The 22,632-nt window shown below is 38.5% G+C and overlaps 1 protein-coding gene across 9 annotated transcripts in view; it reads left to right on the top strand.

Annotated features, from left to right (window-relative positions):
- The window catches only part of PXDNL (peroxidasin like), a 489,869-nt gene that overhangs the window by 416,521 nt on the left and 50,716 nt on the right, over positions 1–22,632 (top strand). For all 9 annotated transcript variants that reach the window (XR_007060701.1, XM_047421364.1, XM_047421365.1 and 6 more), the window contains 2 exons: positions 18,194–18,328; positions 20,844–21,052. Coding sequence is in view for 8 of the 9 variants with exons in the window: in XM_047421364.1 (XP_047277320.1) it covers positions 18,194–18,328; positions 20,844–21,052 (344 nt within the window). In the remaining variant the exon portion in view is untranslated. The remainder of the gene's footprint in view (positions 1–18,193; positions 18,329–20,843; positions 21,053–22,632) is intronic.

The following is a 22,632-nucleotide window of genomic DNA, read 5'->3' as shown; positions in this document are numbered from 1 at the left end:
TTCTCTTTACATTAAAATTGAGGAATTTTGATATTAATTTTTATGCCAATCAATTTCTCCTAACCTCACAATAGAAATGGCACCACTGTTGCTGTTGAAAATCTGTGCTTTCAAGACAGGTATGCCCTCTCTCACCACTCCTATTCAACATAGTGTTGGAAGTTCTGGCCAGGGCAATTAGGCAGGAGAAGGAAATAAAGGGTATTCAATTAGGAAAAGAGGAAGTCAAATTGTTCCTGTTTGCAGATGACATGATTGTATATCTAGAAAACCCCATTGTCTCAGCCCAAAATATCCTTAAGCTGATAAGCAACTTCAGTGAAGTCTCAGGATACAAAATCAATGTACAAAAATCACAAACATTCTTGTACACCAATAACAGACAAACAGAGAGCCAAATCATGAGTGAACTCCCATTCACAATTGCTTCAAAGAGAATAAAATACCTAGAAATCCAACTTACAAGGGACGTGAAGGACCTCTTCAAGGAGAACTATAAACCACTGCTCAATGAAATAAAAGAGGATACAAAGAAATGGAAGAACATTCCATGCTCATGGATAGGAAGAATCAATATCGTGAAAATGGCCATACTGCTCAAGGTAATTTATAGATTCAACGCCATCCCCATCAAGCTACCAATGACTTTCTTCACAGAAGTGGAAAAAACTATTTTAAAGTTCATATGGAACCAAAAAAGAGCCCACATCACCAAGTCAATCCTAAGCCAAAAGAACAAAGCTGGAGGCATCACACTACCTGACTTCAAACTATACTACAAGGCCACAGTAACCAAAACAGCATGGTACTGGTACCAAAACAGAGATATAGATCAATGGAACAGAACAGAGCCCTTAGAAATAACGTCACATATCTACAACTATCTGATCTTTGACAAGCCTGAGAAAAACAAGCAATGGGGAAAGGATTCCCTATTTCATAAATGGTGCTGGGAAAACTGGCTAGTCATATGTAGAAAGCTGAAAGTGGATCCCTTCCTTACACCTTATACAAAAATTAATTCAAGATGGATTAAAGACTTAAACATTAGACCTAAAACCATAAAAATCCTAGAAGAAAACCTAGGCATTACCATTCAGGACATAGGCATGGGCAAGGACTTCATGTCTAAAACACCAAAAGCAATGGCAACAAAAGCCAAAATTGACAAATGGGATCTAATTAAACTAAAGAGCTTCTGCACAGCAAAAGAAACTACCATCAGAGTGAACAGGCAACATACAAAATGGGAGAAAATTTTCGCAACCTGCTCATCTGACAGAGGGCCAATATCCAGAATCTACAATGAACTCAAATTTACAAGAAAAAAACAAACAACCCCATCAAAAAGTGGGTGAAGGACACGAACAGACACTTCTCAAAAGAAGACATTTATGTAGCCAAAAAACACATGAAAAAATGCTCACCATCACTTGCCATCAGAGAAATGCAAATCAAAACCACAATGAGATACCATCTCACACCAGTTAGAATGACGATCATTAAAAAGTCAGGAAACAACAGGTGCTGGAGAGGATGTGGAGAAATAGGAACACTTTTACACTGTTGGTGGGACTGTAAACTAGTTCAACCATTGTGGAAGTCAGTGTGGCAATTCCTCAGGGATCTAGAACTAGAAATACCATTTGACCCAGCCATCCCATTACTGGGTATATACCCAAAGGACTATAAATCATGCTGCTATAAAGACACACGCACACATATGTTTATTGCGGCACTATTCACAATATCAAAGACTTGGAACCAACCCAAATGTCCAACATAGACTGGATTAAGAAAATGTGGCACATATACACCATGGAATACTATGCAGCCATAACAAATGATGAGTTCATGTCCTTTGTAAGGACATGGATGAAATTGGAAATCATCATTCTCAGTAAACTATCGCAAGGACAAAAAACCAAACACCGCATGTTCTCACTCATAGGTGGGAATTGAACAGTGAGAACACATGGACACAGGAAGGGGAACATCACACTCTGGGGACTGTTGTGGGGTCGGAGGAGGGGGGAGGGATAGCATTAGGACATATACCTAATGCTAAATGACGAGTTAATGGGTGCAGCACACCAGCATGGCACATGTATACATATGTAACTAACCTGCACATTGTGCACATGTACCCTAAAACTTAAAGTATAATAATAATAAAATAAAAAAAAAAGAAAATCTGTGCTTTATGCCATTTAGTGAGGTCGGCTTGTCACCTCATTAAACAAATAGCGATCCTCAGAGAACCTGAATCCACATCACTTCTTGGCTAGAAATGAGGAAAGCAGTCAATGTGCTTTATGTTTTTGTGTGAAGAGAGCCATAACTGTTATCATGCAAATTTATAGAATACCCAGAAAATATTTTAAAGGCTTTATAAATTATAATAAAGATATTTATGAATTAATATTTGTACTTATTTCATCCAGAATTAATATGGAGAAGGCGGAGAATTTCAGAAAATGTGCTGAAAATACTACCTAGGTGCTTTTTTGGGTTCCTAGTAATTAACTTTGTGATCTTAGGCAAATTGCATGATCTATCTGAGTTTCCACTTCCCTGGGCATATTATTCATTGGTTGCCACAGGAAACTTACTGAATGCTTTTAAATGGCTCTAAAATATTCTCCTTTGCAAATACTTATGAGCCTAAGGCAGACAAAAACTAGTTTGAATCAGTTTAGAATGTTTTTAAAGAGTGAATTGAGTCAACATTTACTTTCATTTTGCATAATGCCAGATGTTCTTTGCAACATTTGGATAGTTTGGCCTATATCCTCATTTTCTCATTAACAATGATTGGTACTTCATAACATTTTTTAGCTAGAATGGAATTTTTTTTTGGTGGGGGGGGCATGGCTTCCATAGCCAGTGAAGTCATTAGCTTATTTTGTATTTTTAATTACCTGAAATAATAATTGAAAATGAATTAAAATATATAAACATTTGTGCTATATATAATATTAAAACCTTTTCTTTGTTTTTCTTGCCTGTTCCATTATGGGGAAATGTGACATAAAAGCTACTTTAAACAGAGAATGATGTGTTTTATAAGGCATTTGACTAATAGCCTCTTTTCACTGGCAGTTTGAGAATTTCTTGGCAAATAATAAGTTCAGTAAAATGAGCTTCCTTTTTGCTAAAAAATACATAGAACCATTGAACAAAAAGTAAAACTATAAAGAATGGCTTTAAACATAAAGAAGCTCAAACAAATGGGCAATTCTTATATGTCACAAAGGACAAGGAAACTTAAAAGCCAGGGAGAAATCAGGAATGAATGTGCTTTCTTGGCCCATGATTATCAGTCATAGACATTGCTCTGAGGGATCAGAAGTTGAGGTTTTAGTACCCACACAGGGTAAGGGGATACAGAATCCACCTAGTCAGAGGCCTGAAACAGAGTTCTCTGCAGAAAGCCTGAAATCCTGCCTCATCTCTGCAAGGATGAAGGGAACTAGAAAATGCCTTCCCATCAGGAAAGAGGAAGCAGCAATATGGTTTCTCAAGTAAACATCAGGGACCGAGGCTGAAATGAAACAGGAAAATTTTTGAAATTCGAATCCCAGCCTGTGTTACACAGGAAAAGAATCTGAATTTACTCAAACATCATGGTGCTGGAAAGAAAAGAAGATAAATTAACATGAAAAACAGCCCAGGGGCACATGAAACCCCTGAAATCCTCGCACAAGCACATGTCAAATCACTCTCTAGGCATTCTTTTACGACCTGGTGCATACAGACAATCACGGGAATGACAAACCAAACTCCCAAGAAGTTCTCTCCTTCTCACACATGCAAGTTAAAATTCATTTCAGCAAATATGTAGCTGCAAGATAGTCAGCAATGAGAATAAATGAAAAGCAACAAAACAAAACAAAATTAAAATGGAACTTAGGGAGATTAAAACAATAGGAGAGACTCTGTGCATTTAACATTAAATTAAGTAAGAGAATGAATAGAAACCATGTTAAAAGGAAAAGGTAAAAATACAGGTATTTGAAAAACTGAATTTCAAGACATGATATATATAATTTAAATTAAGATCTCAGTAGCTAGTGAAACAGCATACTAGAAATAGCTGAATTAAAAAAATAGTGAACTGGAAGATAAATCTGAAGAATTCACTCAGTGTGTAGTACAGACAGATGAGAATAATAAATAATAAGGGAGATTTAGAGATAGGGAGAAAAGATTGAAAACATCAAATATTTATAGAAGTTCCAAGAGGTAGAAAACAGGAATGAGAGAGAGAGACCCAGTTTGAAGGGTTAGCAATAGAAGAGTTATAAAATTGAAGAAAGACTTGAGTCCTCACATTTAATGAACAGAACCAGTACCAATGTACTCATCTGCAGAACATCTCACTTAGGAAGTAGAATGTATGTATTTGAAACCTGTATCAGTCTAGATATGCGAGATTATGGTAATCAACAACCAAAAATCTCACAGGATGAGCATAGCAGATATTTTTCACTTACATTAAGTGTCTAACTCAAGTTGGAAAGAATAAATAGAAAAGCGAAAGTTAATAAAGTAAAAAGTTGAAAAAAAGACTGATTAATATATTCCCAAACTGAAAGTTAAGTTACAAAAACATAAAAAAACCAGATTTCTAAGAAGTTACTGTTTGTGTTTTTATAAAGATAGCTTGAAAATAATAGTAATTGAATAATTTTCTATTTGGTCTTCGAATAATAAGAAAGCCAATATCAAAACAGAGCCTACATCAATTTGAAATCATTGAAAAATTACTTTTAATAGTTTCTGAGTTCTAGCTAGACAAAATATTTCAAATTTTAAAGAGCACATTATACAGTATTATGGAATATATAAAAAGATGATAACCTACTTGATTTATTAGCTGAAATTAGCATGCCTCTGGTATAAACCTTAAGAAAGGATCTGTAATGTTAACCCTGAAGTCATTTTTTACAGGGAATAACATTAAAAAATGCTTGTCAGTCAAATCATGAATAGTTTAAGAATAGTGCAACATGATTAAGGAGGAATAATTAATATAAGTCCAGAATATAAAACTGAGTTAGTATCAATATAGGGCATTATATTAGAATATACAGTTATAAAACCCATTCAGTCATCTCAGAGTATACCAAAATGACATTTGGTAAAACTTGAAAACATATTTAAGGTGAAAATAAAAACAACAAAAACATTTTTAGCGGTTTTGAAATAGAAACATCTTTTTACCGTAATATTCATGTATTCATTCAATTAGTAATTACGTTAATTCATAAATATGTATTATATCTACTTTATTCCACCTATTTCCTTAATAAAAGGTATGCAACTGATACTGTAGTGAATGATGAAGCACTCACTGGCTTAGAACCGGCAAAAATCTAGCAATTGTGAGACCAGTCTCCCCTACTGCATCTGTGACAAACACTACTAAACTCTCTCAGGATTTTTTCCTACCGAACATAGAGGCAATCTCTGACTTCTTCTAGACATGGCTCTCATGACAGCCAGCAGTTACTCTACTTGATGGGACCTGGCATACAAAATGAGACCTCCTTATAGCCCCTCACTGGAGCATGCCCACCTGGAAACAAAACATGGCTCTATTACCATAGTTAACATTGCTTTTAAATTTCAGTGCAGCAGGCCCTATTGGGACTTATGAGCTGGAGAAACGAAATGAAGACTGCTCATTTTTATAACTGCATAATTTTCATCAGTTTAGAATGTTGTCTAAAAGGGAGAATTGTAAGAGTGGGTGGTAATTATGAGATCTATGCAGTGGCATGGTTTGTTGTGGACAGTTGAGGAGGTCTTAACTATAGGCTTCCTTTGCTGAATGAAGGATAAGCTTAGTTCATCTCTGACTGTGAAAGAGTAGAACAGTGGGAAATCAGATTTGAGTGGAGAAGCTCTCACATCGTAATGGACTTCATAAGACTGGAAAAAAAGTCAGAGCATCAAGCCAAAATAGTTTTGCAGTTTTGAGGACATAAATGAAATTTATAAATCAAGTGTATACAGTTGATTAAATAGAATAATAGAAATAAAATGCTTGTCACTTGGCTGACATGTAGAAAAGACTCTTTCTTTTTTTTTTTTTCAAGATGAAGTCTTGCTCTGTCATCTGTCACTCAGGCTGGAGTGCAGTGGTGCTATCTTGGCTCACTACAACCTCCACCTCCTGGGTTCAAGCAATTTTTCTGCCTCAGCCTCCCTAGTAGCTGGGACTACAGGTGCGTGCCACCATGCTTGGCTAATTTTTGTATTTTTAGTAGAGACGACGTTTCCATCTATCATCTATTTATCCACTTAACTACCTATATATATATTATCTATTTCTATTATCTCTCTTTATCTCTTATCTATCTATATCATCTCTACCTCTCTTTATCAGTCATCTATCACTTGCTTCTAATTCTCTGTCATCTCTCTGTATCTATCTTTATCTCTTTTTCTATCAGTCATCTATCTATCTTACTACTGCCAGTATCATGACATAGGGGTGTGATTTCTGAAGCTTAGAATAAATCACCTGGCCGGGCACAGTGGCTCACGCCTGTAATCCCAGCACTTTGGGAGGCCGAGGCAGGCGGATCACGAGGTCAGGAGTTCGAGACCAGCCTGGCCGATATGGTGAAACCCCATCTCTACTAAAAATACAAAAATTAGCCGGGCATGGTGGCACGTGCCTGTAGTCCCAGCTACTCCGGAGGCTGAGGCAGAAGAATTGCTTGAACCTGGGAGGCAGAGGTTGTGGTGAGCTGAGATCACGCCACTGCACTCTAGCCTGGGTGACAGAGCAAGAGTCTTATGTCAAAAAAAAAAAAGAATGAATCACCCAACATTTCTGTTAAATGTCTTGAATTCCACCAATGGAGAGCTATTCTTTTATTCGTTATCTGCTTTTATATCAATACCATGGTCTATTAGTCCATTTTCATGCTGCTTGATAAACACATACTGGAGATTGGGTAATTTATAAAGAAAAAGAGGTTTAATGAACTTACAGTTCCACTCGGCTGGGAGGCCTCACAATCATGGTGGAAGGTGAAAGGCATGTCTTACCTGGTGGCAGGCAAGAGAGAATGAGAGCCAAGTGAAAGGAGAAACCCCTTATAAAACCATTAGCTCTTGTGAGACTTACTCAGTACCAGGAGAACAGTATGGGGAAACCACCCTATGATTCAGTTATCTTCCACCAGATCCCCTCCACAACACATGGGAATTATGGGAGCTACAATTCAAGATGAGATTTGGGCAAGGACACAGCCAAACCATATCACATGGTATAAAAACGTAGTTTATGTTTTAAATATCTGTTTATGCCTTCTGACTGGCCTATGCTCTTTAAATCAGGGGCTGTTAATTAGTCGTTTTTTAGTCTAGATTGGTGGCTAGAAAACTCAGGGAATCCTTAGGAATATGTGGATTGAATGGAAAGTTAATCTTTAATTTCTCAATCAGAAATTAAAAGCATGATTTATTACTGTAGATTACTTACCCCAGAATGTATGCTAACTAATCTTATGTAGTGTGTAAACATAACATTTAATGACATTGTCCTACACAGTGGAAAGTGTTTTTTTTTTTTCCTTTTTAGCTATTTTTCTGCTTCTGTGGTTATGATGTAGGGAGTCTCACCTGGAGACTGTGTGTCTTTAACACTTGATGTTTATTTAGTCAATCTTTTAAATAAAAGGGGAATATGTCTCAGGCCCAGGATTTCAAAGGGTTACTGTATGTAACCAGTGGAGAAAGCAAATTTCTCCACTGGAGTTAAAAAATGATATAATTGTTAATAGCTGTCATGCTGTAAGTATTGTTCAAACATGCTATTGTTCAATACATGTGAATTTTTATTGGATATGGACCTGTCTCTTTTCTTATGTGGAAGTCTATCTCAGTCTCAATGACTGCCTGGACTTATCTCTGTCTTATTGTTGATGTCTCTGCCTTCTTTGATTTTATTCTGTTTCTTAATTTTTTCCTTATATTTATATCCCTTCTTTCCTTTTTCCTCTAATCAAAAAACAAAGTATAGATGATTATTTTTATTACTAGACATAATTACAGAGTTCTATATTCTGTACTCTGCTTTTGAAAATTTGATGACTATCACATTTTAGTTCTATGTAAAATCTTATATAAATAGCTTAGATTATTTTCCTCCTTTAAAGTAGTAGTAGAAAGAAAAGTTCCTCCTCCCATAAAAGCAAAAAATGAATAGTATTATATACTTGTTTAAAAACAAAAGTCGCTTGAGTTATTTTTCCCATTTGTTTACTTTTCTGTGCTATTTCTGTTACAGAGATGTTTGTTAACATAGAGCTTTATATATAGTTTTCTAAAATGCATACTTTTTAATTGTAGAAGAATTTATTTTTACAAAAATGTGATGTCCTTAAGATTTTTGAGGAAATTAGATATCTAGAGTCCCGAGATAGCTTTTAATAAAAAGTATTCTGGGAAAATTTTCTTTCAAGTAAAGAAACAATTTTTCTGTCTGGTGTTGTTAATGACAAATTAACCATAAGATTTTTTTTTTTTGTCATTCACCTTTATTTCAGTGCTGGTAACCATAAGATTATTTTGTACCATGTGTCTGATCTGACTAATCATGCTAGTGGGGTAGGATGTTTTCATTGTTTTAATTTCTCTGATGTAAAATGTCATTTACTTCCCTTAAATTGATGCAGTCATCCTGAGGCAGAGGAAATTTTGTTCTGTGTGAGAGTACACAAGGGCATTTTGCCTTTTTTGCCAAAGGACATGTTTCAAATATATTTTTTCTCTAAAAGCTACTAAATGATCATATTTGCTCTGAAAATCCAGATGTCTCTCAGAAAGCTTTTCCACAAGGACACTTTATCACAAAGCACCTTTCCTTTGTGTTTTGGGGAAGGATTTTTATTTGTTTCATTAACACCATACATTGCTGCATATCTATCTTGCACTCTCTCAATCAGGTGAGCATGTATAACCCTGAAAAGATTCCATACAGGACCTCTGCCCTTGTGTCTCTGTGAATGATCCAGCTGAATGAAAGTTGTTATTATTATTATCCTTCCTTCTAAAGCCAACTTTAAGTCAAACTGTCATTATGAAATTAGATATGGCTTGACACTGTGGTCTCTGTGGCAAGAAATAGTTCATTTCAAGGTCTGCAAATCTTTTCTTTCAACTCTCTGTATATCAAAATACCGACAAAAGCACCACTTTTTTTAAAATATAGCTAGACTGTTTACTCTTATTATTCCATGTGTGTTTTTGGTTTGCAATCATGGAAAAGGTTAAAAGGTAAATTTAAACACAGTTAGATGGTACATTAACAAAGCCAGGAGATTTTATGATGGCAGTTTGCAGCCCTGCTTTGGGCGGTACTCTCTCATGTTGTCTGCATTTAGGGGAATTCTGGCCAAAGTTACCAGCGCCCTTTGTATTTGCTGCTGCACACAACAGAAAGGGGCTTGGTGTGTATTGTCATTCTCACTTTCAGGGACAATGCCCTCGGATGCCATCTCAGATTACAGATGTCTTTGCTGTCATAAAACCATGCCGCTTTGTATTGGATTATCATTTTAAGATATGGAACAAATGGTTTGGGGGCGAAAGTTGACAAGTGAAATGACATACCAAAGCTATTAATACAGAAGCTGCTTTATAATCTTACTAATGACCAATTATAACCACAAAAGAAGAGCTACAATGTCTACGATTGAAAAAGTTAAAAAAAATAGAATTGACATTCTCCAGAGTAATGCAGATGAATTAATAAGAAATGTTTTGAGAGCTTATGGATCTCAGACTTCCCTCTAAGGAAAGTGGAGAGGATTTATTTTTCCAAACATAGGCTCTACATGATTAATAAGTTACTTATATAGGATATGCACGAAGACTCCCAACATTTCTTGGAGCTGCTGTGGTGAGCCATGGTAAAGTAATATGGAACAATAAGGATAGGAATAGTTAATGTTTAGCTGAATTATTTAAGACATGAGAAAAAGATCAATGATGAAGAACTGAAATTAACAAAGCCAGGATTATACTCTCTGGGAAAGTTCAATGTTCTAACTTCTAAAACTTCTAAGTACTATTTTTTTCTGGACTCTTATAGTTCATAGACATAAATCTGACCCTATGTAACTTTCTGATTTCCATTATTATTATTTCTCATATTCTGCATAATTTAATTCTAACCATTCAGAGATCAATATATCTTTTTTTTTAACTTATTTTAAAGAAGTAATGCAGGGGTGTATGATAAGTCTCTGTACCTTTCACTCAGTTTTGCTGTGAACCTAAAACTGCTGTACAAAATCAAGCCTATTAAAAAATTAATTGAATGGTCTCTTCAAAGATACATTAAAATTACATTATACTAAAAATAAGCAGGTGTAAGGTTTAGGACAATAGTCTCATTTTTGGCAGGCAAACTGTTTTAAAAATTAGGAGTGAATTTAGCATAAAGTCAATGGAAGGTCATAATTATATTAGTTTTCTAGGCTGTTGTAACAACAGACCACACACTGGGTGGCTTAAGACATCAGAAGTTTATCATCCCACAGTTCTGGAGTCTGGAAGTCTGGAATCAAGGTGTCAGCAGGGCCACGCTTCCTCAGGACCTTGGAGGAGAGAATCCTTTGCTTTTCCTAGTTTCTGGTGGTTTCCCGGCAACCCTTGGTTTCCCTGGCTTGCAGCTGCAGTGCCTCAGTCCCTGCCTCTGCTGTAGGACAGCATTCTCACTCTCGGTCTTTGTTCAAACTGCCCTTTTAAAGATAAGGACACCATGGCCCGGAGCGGTGGCTCACACACGTAATCCCAGCACTTTGGGAGGCCAAGGCGGGCAGATCACAAGGTCAGGAGATCGAGACCATCCTGGGTTAACATGGTGAAACCCCGTCTCTGCACATGTATACATATGTAACAAACCTGCACGTTCTTGCACATGTACCCTAAAACTTAAAGTATAATAATAATAAAAAAATTCACTATTGTTATGAAAGTTAAAGTCAGCAGTAGCCATAATTTAGCAGTTAACCTGTCATTAGTGTTTCTATTTTTCTTATTAAATCATATCTTTTGGGCCTCTGGTCAAAAAAAAAAAATTAGCTGGGCGTGGGGACGGGTGCCTATAGTCCCAGCTACTCGGGAGGCTGAGACAGGAGAATGGCATGAACCCGGGAGGTGGAGCTTTCAGTAGCCGAGATTGCACCACTGCACTCTAGCCTGGGCGACAGAGTGAGACTCTGTCTCAAAAATAAATAAATAAATAAATAAATAAATAAATAAATAAATAAATAAAGACACCAGTCATATTGGATCAGGGTCCACCCTAATGACCTAATCTTAACTTGATCACATCAGCAAAGATCCTACCTCCAAATAGTATTACCATATTAGCAGATACTGGGGGGCAGTACTTCCCCATGTTAATATCTTTTCATGGGAACACAACTCAACTCATAGCAATAATTAAAATTTAGTTCTTACCTAACAAAATATTGTTTACTTATTTTGGAGGTTGGTGTAGCCTTGGACAAAATTTTTTTTTTTACTCATTTTATTGGAAACACAGGATAAGACACAGAACAATAAAGAGAAACAAAATGCTTTGGCAAAAGACTCTAGAAGACCTAAGTGGGAAAGAAGAGTTTCAGAAAAAGTTTTGACATATGCTCTTCAATCAAACCTAGTGTTCCGTTTATAAATGTAATTTGGGTGGTTCCAAAGGCCCATGGAGTCATTTAGGGAATGCAAAAGAAGGAACACTATCTAACTTACTTTCTCAGGCCAGTAACATTTTGATATTAAAATAAACAATAACAGTACGAGGCAAGGAAATTTACAAGACAACATCTCATATAAATGTATATAAAAATTATAAACAAAGCATTGAAAACTCAAGTTGAATGCCATATATACATACATATATAACATGATCATAATAGGTTCGTTTCAGTAATATAATTAGTCCAAGATTTTTAAAGTGTTGATATAATTTAGGACATAAGCCGATTAAAAAGAAAAAGGTGATTATTTCAGTATTGGCAGAAAAAAACATTCCATGTAAAATGCAACATTTCTCTAGAATTTAAGAAAGGCTGTTAGAATTCTAGGAAAAATGAAACATCCTAACTAAATAAAGAACATCTCAAAAATACACTGTAAGCATTAATTGTTAGAAGCATTCCATTTAAAAACATGAATAGACATAAATGGCAGCAACTTCAAAATTGTATTGAAAAGTACAATCAAGACAATAACATAAGAAAAAGATAAAGATCAGAAAGGATAAAACTGCCATATTACTTTTTTTTGCAAATACTCTATGTAGTAAATGGGAATGAATATAAAGAAAAATTGCTCTTCCAAAGAGAAGAAAAGGTAAAGAAGTCTAACAAGTTGTGCATTGTGTTGTAATGATAATTAGAAGACTTACAGATAGTTATTAAAGAGTGGAGACAACGAACATTCTCAGGTGTAGAAAGATTCAGTAATATTGATAGGTCAGTACTTCCCACAAATGATATACTTATTGTAGTGCCAATGAAGAGCTTAGTAGTGCTTCTTTGTGGCATCAACAGCTGATTTTAAAATTAAACTGGTAAAGCTGATGGCCAAGAGGAACATGGTAGGGTGGCTTGATGTTCCAGTTAGCAACCCTTCCTATAAAGCAAACTTGTCCAACCTGCAGCTTGTGGGAGGCACGCAGCCCAGGATGGCTTTGACTGTGGTCCCATACAAATTCATAGACTTTCTTAAAATATTATGAGTTTTTTTGTTATTTTTTTTTTTTTAGCTCGTCAGCTATTCTTAGTGTTAGTGTATTTTATGTGTGGCCCAAGACACTTCTTCTTTTTTCAATGTGGCCCAGGGAAGCCAAGAGATTGGATACCCTGATATAAAGCTTTTAGTAATTAAGACAATAGAATAGAATAGAAAGCCACAAGAAAAAGGGCTCATATATGGAAATATCCTATTTGAAAGAGCTGCAAGAAACATTAGTGAGAAGTGAGGACATATTCAGTAAGTGGTGCGGTACCAAGTGGCTACCCTTGGATTAAAAATGAGTATGGATTCTGATCTCATATCATATATGAAAATCAATTCCAGATAGATATAGGAATTAAATCTGAGAGGCAAAATTTTAACTTCACAAAAAATAAAAGAGAATATCTCTATGGCATTGGGGAAAGAAAGAAATTTTTAGTAAGGTACACAAAATTGTAAAATTGATATAAAAATTGATAAAATGACCTTAAGATTAAGAAAATATTTTCATCAGAATCTAACATAATGAGAATGATTAAAAGCACCACAAATACAAGGAATACATTTTGACATAGATCACAGTATTAGCATTCAGAATATATAGATAATTAACAGTAAGAAAAAAAAACCCAATTAAAAAAGGGTAAAAAGTATAAATACACATTTCAGTAAGAAAAAAACTAAATTTTCAATCAACACGTAGAAGATATTCAATTGTATAATTAATTAGGAAGATCCAGAATCATAATGAAACACCATTTCACACCCCTCAGATTACCAAAAATTTTTTGAAAAAGACATATTTTCAGGTTAGCCCTAGGAAAATAATTGTCCCTTACTTCTAAATCTCTCACCACAGCCTTCTCCAAATCTGTAAGATCAACAAAGAGAACACAAAATAACATGACTCATACCTTCAATTAGTGAGAGACAGAAAATGGCATGAGTTTCAATGGCAAGTTTGAAAATAACAAGTTATCGGAGCTGCCACTGGAACTCCACGTTCACTGGAAGTTTGTGGATTGGGAAAAAGAAGGGAAACTAATTAAAAAAATCTCCATGGACAAAAAAATGGGAAGGACAGAAGAAAAAATGCAGAAAAGGCTGGGGAGTCCTAGCGCTGTGGCAAGAGGAGCCCTTGAACCCAGGAGCTTGAAGCTACAGTGAGCTGTGATTGTGTGTCCAGAATTGGTGGGTTCTTGGTCTCACTGACTTCAAGAATGAAGTCGCAGACCCTCGCCGTGAGTGTTACAGTTCTTAAAGGTGATGTGTCCAGAGTTTGTTCCTTCTGATGTTCGAACATGTTCAGAGTTTCTTCCTTCTGGTGGGTTCATAGTCTTGCTGGCTTCAGGAGTGAAGCTGCAGACCTTCGCAGTGAGTGTTACAGCTCTTAAGGCCGCACGTGTGGAGTTGTTCGTTCCTCCCGTCCTGTCCCAGTGGGATCCTGGTCTTGCTGGCCTCAGCAGTGAAGTTGCAGATCTTCACAGTGAGTGTTACAGCTCATAAAGCCAGTGCACACCCAAAGAGTGAGCAGCAGCAAGATTTATTGCAAAGCGCAAAAGAACAAATCTTCCACAGAGTGGAATGGTACCCCAGAGGATTGCCACTGCTGGCTGGGGCAGCCTGCTTTTTCACCCTTTTCTGGCCCCACCCACATCCTGCTGATTGGTCCATTTTACAGAGAGCTGATTGGTCTGTTTTGACAGGGTGCTGATTGGTGAGTTTACAATCCCTGAGCTAGGCACAAAAGTTCTCCAAGTCCTCACTAGATTAGCTAGACAGAGCAGTGACTGGTGCATTTACAAACCTTGAGCTAGACACAGGGTGCTGATTGGTGCATTTACAAACCTTGAGCTAGACACAGAGTGCTGATTGGTGTATTTACAATCCCTTAGCTAGACATAAAGGTTCTCCAAGTCCCCACCAGATTAGCTAGATACAGAGTGCTGATTGGTGCATTTACAGACCTTGAGCTAGACACAGAGTGCTGATTGGTGTATTTACAATCCCTTAGCTAGACATAAAGGTTCTCCAACGCCCCACCAGATTAGCTAGATACAGAGTGCTGATTAGTGCATTTACAAACCTTGAGCTAGACACAGAGTGCTAATTGGTGTATTTACAATCCCTTAGCTAGACATAAAGGTTCTCCAAGTCCCCACTAGACTCAGGAGCCCAGCTGGCTTCACCCAGTGGATACCGCACGGGGCTGCAGGTGGAGCTGCCTGCCAGTCCCCTGCTCTGCTCCTGCACTCCTCAGCCCTTGGGCAGTTGATGGGACCTGGTGCTGTGGAGCAGGAGCAGGCAGTGGCGCTCCTCCGGGAGGCTGGGGCTGCGCAGGAGCCCGCGGTGTGGGGGAGGCTCAGGCATGGCGGGCTGCAGGTCCTCAGCCCTGCCCCGCAGGGAGGCAGCTGAGGCCCCACGAGAATTCGAGCGCAGCGCTGGCCAGCCAGAACTGCTGGGGGACCCGGTGCACCCTCCGCAGCTGCTGGCCCAGGTGCTAAGCCCCTCACTGCCTGGGACGGGTGGTGCCGGCGAGCTGCTCTCAGTGTGTGCCAGCTGAGCCCACGCCCACCCGGAACTCGCGCTGGCCCGCAAGCACCCTGTGCAGCCCCGGTTCCTGCCTGCACCTCTCCCTCCACACCTCCCTGCAAGCTGAGGGAGCCGGCTCCGGCCTCGTTTAGCTCAGAGAGGGGTTCCCACAGTGCGGCGGCGGGCTGAAAGGCCCCTCAAGCACGGCCAGAGTGGCCTCTGGCCACTGAGGCTGAGGAGGCCGCGACAGCGAGTGAGGGCTGCCAGGGCTGCCAGCACGCTGTCACCTCTCAATTGCACCACTGCAGTCCAGCATGGGCGAGAAAGTGAGACCCTGTCTCTTAAAAAGAAAAAAAAAAATCCCCTAGAAGGAAAAACTCCAGCACCAAGTACTAAGTTGTCAAGTGAAATTCTGGAAACCTGGAAGTTATCAACACCATTTACAAATCTGAGAGTGTCCAGAAATGGCTTTGGCTTTGTGTGTGTGTGTGTGTGTGTGTGTGTGTGTGTGTGTGTAAAGGGTAGAGTGCCACTTCAGATTTGATGGTGACATTAAAGCAGAATGAAATGAAATTAAGGATGCTCTAGCACTTAAAGAGAAACAAGGCTGGGCGCGGTGGCTCACGCCTGTAACCCAGCACTTTGGGAGGCTGAGGAGGGTGGATCAGGAGGTCAGGAGATCGAGACCATCCTGGCTAACACGGTGAAACCCCGTCTCTACTAAAAATACAAAAAATTAGCCGGGCATTGTGGCGGGCGCCTGTAGTCCCAGCTACTCGGGAGGCTGAGGCAGGAGAATGGCGTGAACCCGGGAGGTGGAGCTTGCAGTGAACTGAGATCCTGCCACTGCACTCCAGCCTGGGGGACAGAGTAAGACTCCGTATAAAAAAAAAAAAGAGAGAGAGAGAGAAGAGAAGCAAAACATGTTAACTCTCACTTCTCCCCATCACCACCAGAACAGACATCAAAAAGACTGCACTTCCCTGTAGTGAAAGAAGAGTATGCTACCCAACCAGAAATTCGTTTCGTGAAATGCATAGGAATTAAGAGAGAGAGAGAGATGTATTTCAAATAAAGCTATGTAACAAGAAAACAGAAATGCAAATCAAAACATTTCAGAGGAAAAATCTCTCAGAAAAAGAATTGAAACAGGAGGAAACAATAACACAACATTCAAACCAGAATTAAACAGCACTCAAACATTCAAGCAGGCACTTGGAAATCTAAAAAGTCCATCTATTATCAGAAACCAAGAAGGAGAAAGTGGGGAAGGGCAGCAGTGATGAGAGTTGACTAACAAAATAAAGTAAAATGGAATAAGTTACAATGTGTCGAGGAATAATATGCCTGTCTGTTCCAGGCTGTACAGCTCTCCAGGTGACATTGAGAATTTTGATATGCTTCTTGTGGATGTATGAATTGTACATCCATTTTGGATAGCAGTTTGGCATTGTCTTTTAACATTGAAGATATACATATGGATATCTATCATAGAGTAATTCCGTGTACTCATTATGGGAATATGAATCATACATCAATTTCATATAGCAGTTTGGCATTAACTATTAAAATTGAAGATACTATACTCTGCCCTCAGAATTCTAGCTCTTGCACAACGTAATCTAGAGCAGGGATCTGCAAACCACAGCCAAGTGGCCAAATCTGACCTACTTTTCTAATTTTGTAAATAAAGTTTTATTGGAACACAACTATGTCTGTTTGTTTATATGTTGTCTATGGCTGCTTTTATGCAAAACAGGAGTTGGGTAGTTGCAACAGAACCCACAGTTGTCCCACAAAGCTGAAAATACTGGCTCTCTGGCCCTTTATGGTAAAAATTTGCTGACGCCTAGTCTAGAGAAACTCTTGTGCATATGAAGAAACATGTAGAGAATGTTCATAGTGTAAAAGTTGAAAACCTCACAAGTATTCATCACCAGTGTAACTAAACTAAATTGGAATGGTTTCCAATAATAGACTGTTTACTATACAGCAGAGAAAATGAAGAAAGTACAAATATATGCAACCACACAATTGCATCGCCAAGTAAACTGTTGAGTGAGAAAAAGGAAGTATGAATACTATATTTCCATTTGTGACAAGGTTAAAACATGCAAACTAAACTATTTGTAGTTTAGAGAATCATATGTATGAAACAAAATAAAACAAGGGACAAGTTAAGTTGGTGTCACGTTTATCATTAGAGTAGAGAGAAAAAAACAATCAGAGTGGCTCCTACTGGGAGTGTCAAGCATATGGACATATTTTCTTTCTCTGAGTGGTGAGCCAAGGCTGTTGGCTTATAATCAACATTTGCATTGTGCTTTTTTGTTTGTTTGTTGTTTTTAAAAATTGCTTCAAATCTTAGGTCAAATACTTATTGCCTTTTTATCAAGAGAAAACTTACCTAACACTTTTTATCTTATCATCTCCGCAAATTATGATTTTCTATTGACTTTTTAGCATACCTAGCATATACACTGATGTGGACATTTCTCAATGCTGAATTGTTAATTTTCTATGTATTTCTGAAGGAATTAGCTAGTTGCATTTATACATGACATAACACACACACACTTGCATATATATATATATACAGTTATACTCCATATGTTTAGAGAATAATTATAAAGAATTGCACAGGGGACATTGCATGAGGCTTGGTGTCATATGTCCTTGGTTAGGTTATGACTCTGCCTCCTGCCTATGGGGTGATCCCTGAGGGTTCCTTCATTTGAGTGCTTTCCCCCATGAAATGAGAATACAGTAATCATATCTACTTTTCTTTTTTTGTGTGGATAAAATAATGCTTGGTGGTCATTCACATAAGGAATATTTTCAATTCCACTTTCAGTCTCAGGTGTGCGCTGTCTGCCTGTCTCTGTTCCAGGTTGTACGGCTCTCCAGGTGACATTGACCTCTGGCCCGCCCTTATGGTTGAAGACCTGATTCCTGGTACAAGAGTGGGACCAACACTTATGTGCCTGTTTGTTACCCAGTTTCAGCGGCTAAGAGATGGAGATAGGTGAATGATTATCTGTTATACTTATTAAATATCACAAAAGTTGTTTTTGACCCAAAATGTATATGTTTAACATTGTGATTCATATTTTTATGATTTAATGCATATTGAGTATAATGAATATCAGATAGCATTAGGTGACAGAACTTTTGTAACCACCAATATTATCAGATAACATTTATTTTTGTAAATCTTTGTAAGAAGAGAAGAAACAGAATTTCTCAAAAGGCAATAGAAGTTGGCGATTGAGAGGATGAAGGCTAGATGGACTACGTTGTGCTTAAATCTGAGTCTCACCACTTACAGCTGTTTAACTTTAGACATGTATCACTCAGAACCAGGTTCCTCATCTGTAAAGTGTGAGTAACAATTGTACCTATTCCATAGGACGTCTGCAGCCTTCAATGATGTTGAGAAGGAAGGAACTGGTAGCAGCCTTGAGATTCCCTCCCTTCATTCTCATGGAGGAAGACCTGATGACCCTAGACCAGATCTCCTTGTAAAATTACATTATGAGGGCATTTACGAGTGGAAAGATAACTGGGAACTCTTCTCTAAAATTTCTTGGTTTGTCTAAAATGTTCATTGTAAATAAATTTAATCATGAAATAATGGGAAACAGCAGGCTGGAGAATGTAAGTTAGTCACGTAATCTGTTTACTGTTCCAAGACTAACCAAGAATAAAAACCAAGAAATACAAACCTAAGCAGCCTCTCCTGAGTGGACATGTGCTCTTCTATTGCTTGGAATCAAGTATGTTCCAGGGCATGGTATCTTCTGAATCATTAGTGAAGCTTAGTGTTGAGTAAGATCTAGGAATCTTGTGAATCTGTTTGACAATATAACCTTTTGTATTATTTCAGAGATGATGTATATAAGACTTGAAACAAAGCCCAGAGCTTAGTTTTTAATTAAAGTTACAATAAAAATTATTCTTTACTTTAAATCCCTTCCCTTTACAAATTATAGAGAAAGTAGCAAAGGATTTAATTCCCTTTATTGCACATTGGTAACAATTAATAGTATATTTCATTAATTTTTTAAAATCATTTTTAACACTGAATTTCTTGACTCACATAATTGGGTTAATGTGCTCAATTGGCAATAGTTTAAAAATATATGTAGTCAAAGACTGAAAATAATTGAAAAACCTTCAGTTTGGGGGTTAAGCTGTCTTCCCCATATATATTAGTTTACCAGGCTGTTGTAACAAAGTCCCATAGCTTGGATAGCTTAGACAACAGAAATTTGTTATTCTTACAATTCTGGAGGTTAGATGCTGATCAAGGCATCAGCAGGGTTGATTCCTACTGGGGCGTCTCTTCTGGCTTGTATGTGGCATCTTCTCCCTGTGTCTTCACGTGGTCTTCCCTCTGTTATCTATGTCCACATTTCCTTTTCTTATAAGGACACCAGACATACTGGGTTAGGGCTCACACACGTGATCTATTTTTACCTTAAATACCTATGTAAAGGCCCTGTCTCCAAATAGAGTCACCTTCGAAGGTACTGGGGCATAGGACTTCAACATATACATTTTAGGGGGACACAGCTCAGTCCATAACATCAAGATAGTGGCAAGAAGTCTTTTTGCCTACCATCTTAATTTCCTGCTCTATACTCAGCACAAAAAAGTGCTTGGCATGTGATATTCAAATATTTACTGAATGAATGAACCCAAGGATTGACTTTGCTGAATGTACCCAAAGATTGACTTTAATAGTTCTTTCATTTAAAATTGATTGTATCCTTTCATTTAAAATTGAATGTGCTTATTCTAGTTAGTTGATGGATATAACCAAATAGTATATATTAATTATCAAAAGTGCTATTTTCTTTTTAGGCAAACGTGTTAATGTTACATTGCTCAGACAGTTTCTAAGGTTAGTTCATGGAATTTAAATGCAACAATAGGGCTAGGTGCGGTGGCTCACGCCTGTAATCCCAACAGTTTGGGAGGCCGAGGTGGGCAGATCACTTGAGGCCAGGAGTTCAAGACTAGCCTGGCCAACATGGCGAATCCCCGTCTCTAGTAACGATATAAAAATTAGGCAGGCATGGTGACAGGAGCCTGTAATCCCAGCTACTTGGGAGGCTGAGGCAGGAGAGTTGCGTGAACTCGGGAGGTAGAGGTTGCAGTGAGCTGAGATCATGCCACTGCACTCCAACCTGGGCTACAGAGTGAATGAGACTCCGTCTCAAAAAATAATTAAAAATTAAAAAAAATTTAAAAATGTAATAATGGACTTTTCTTTTTTGGAGGAAAACCTTAGAAAACTTTCCTTTGAATCATTTTGTAGAGCTTGAGTAGAAAGTGATAGTTCAGAAGAATGTGATTTAAGAATGTTGTAAATATTGGAGAGAATTAAAAGGATACTCAGTTGGAGAACAAGCATAATTCTTTCAGTATGCGTCTTTTATGTTGAGCTCTTCTTGGTGCATTGTGGCTGTTTGACATGCAGCTGAGTTCTCAGGCCACAGACCCACGACAATGTTTTTTTTTTGGTTGACTACCAGGTTCTGGTATGAAAACCCTGGAGTATTTACCCCGGCACAACTCACTCAGCTGAAGCAGGCGTCCCTGAGCCGGGTGCTTTGTGACAATGGTGACAGCATTCAGCAAGTGCAGGCTGATGTCTTTGTAAAGGCAGAATACCCACAGGATTACCTGAACTGCAGCGAGATCCCGAAGGTGGACCTGCGAGTGTGGCAAGACTGCTGTGCAGGTCAGTAATAATGCAATGAGCACGATCTGGATTGATGTGCATGTTCTCATGCTTGAATTGTTTTCAGTGGTAAAGATTATGCGATTTAAAGAAAGATACGCAAAAAGCCAACAACACAGAACTTTCCTTTTGGAAATCTGACAGATGATGAAGGGGTGGACACCAGGAAAAAGGCTCCCAACCTGCCCATCCTCTTCCATTCCACACTAACCTTGTTAGAATGGGGACTCTTGCTGGCAAAACTGGCCTCTGCCTTCTTACTGCATTTCAGATTTCTGCACCAAAGATCAAATGCCAATCACTTGGTACTGACTATATCTACTTCTTGGGGTTCATCTAACAAAAGAGAAATGAAAGTTTATAGTGACTTGGCTAACTTAGGCTATCCATTCTTCATAAGATGTTGCAGTAGTGCTCATTGGAAGTACAAGGAAATTTTGATAGAGTCAGGAAAAACTTTCCCTAATGACACAACAGAATTGGTGATATCTACAACATCACCGTTTACGAACCAAACTTTCCCTAAGGTGCTTCTATAAGCATCTGTTTTGTGCTCACAATATCCCTTTAGAAATGTGGATTTCTTTCTCCTTTGATGAAAGTGTGGCTCAAAAATATTAGATGACTTTCTCAAAGTCCAAAGATGAGTAAGTGGTGGAGCCAGGGCCAGAGAAAAGATGTATTGTTTGTTGAAACCTAGAGATGAACTGAGGACTTGATGATTCTGGAGCAGAACATGCTGACGTCTTCACAGGTGAGCAGGTGTCTGTCACATGGAGGATATTTGCAGTTCCTCTGGACGCCAATGACACAAGGGCCACCATAGCCTCATGCTTGCTCCGTGTAGTGGCCATGGGCCTGGGAGTTCTGATGTTCTCTGGGACTGAAATGATCATTCTCAGTACCTAAGTAGTACTAGAGATTTGTTGTCAGGGGAGGAAATTGAAAGCCACTGCTAGAAGTGTGATAGAACACTGGCCGGGTGCGGAGGCTCACGCCTGTAATCCCAGCACTTTGGGAAGCCAAGGTGGGTGGATTGTTTGAGGTCAGGAGTTCAAGACCAGCCTGGCCAACATGGCGAAACCCCATCTCCACTAAAAATACAAAAATTAGCCAGGCGTGATGATGGGTACCTGTAATCGTAGCTACTTGGGAGGCTAAGGCAAGAGAATCGCTTGAACCCTGGAGGCGGAGGTTGCAGTGAGCCCAGATTGTGCCATTGCACTCCAGCCTGGGTGACAGAGCCAGACTCAATGACACCTGAGTCACGGTTGTCTTTTTCACTGTGGTGGTGCTTTATCGGACACAGCAAAAAGGAATGTGGTACCCCGGGGAGGGTGGCATTCTTTCCCTTACCTCAAGTTCTTAGTGATTAGATCCAGGAATAATGAAATAGTCCCCCCTCTTCAGAATGTTGGAGGAGCAGAGAGCAATATACAAACCATATAAATGGCAACTTGTAACACTCCTTTGCTTCTTCTCCAATGTCCCTGGGATGGGACATAGGGCCTGCTGAGCAGAGGGAGAGATAGATGGCATGGCAGGGTGTGGGCTGTGATGACCAGAGCAGTGCCCTGCAA

Source organism: Homo sapiens, chromosome 8 (assembly GCF_000001405.40).
Source record: "Homo sapiens chromosome 8, GRCh38.p14 Primary Assembly".
NCBI classification, from domain to species: domain Eukaryota; kingdom Metazoa; phylum Chordata; class Mammalia; order Primates; family Hominidae; genus Homo; species Homo sapiens.
Note: the sequence above shows the minus strand (reverse complement) of the source record. Positions and strands in the feature narration are given on the sequence as shown.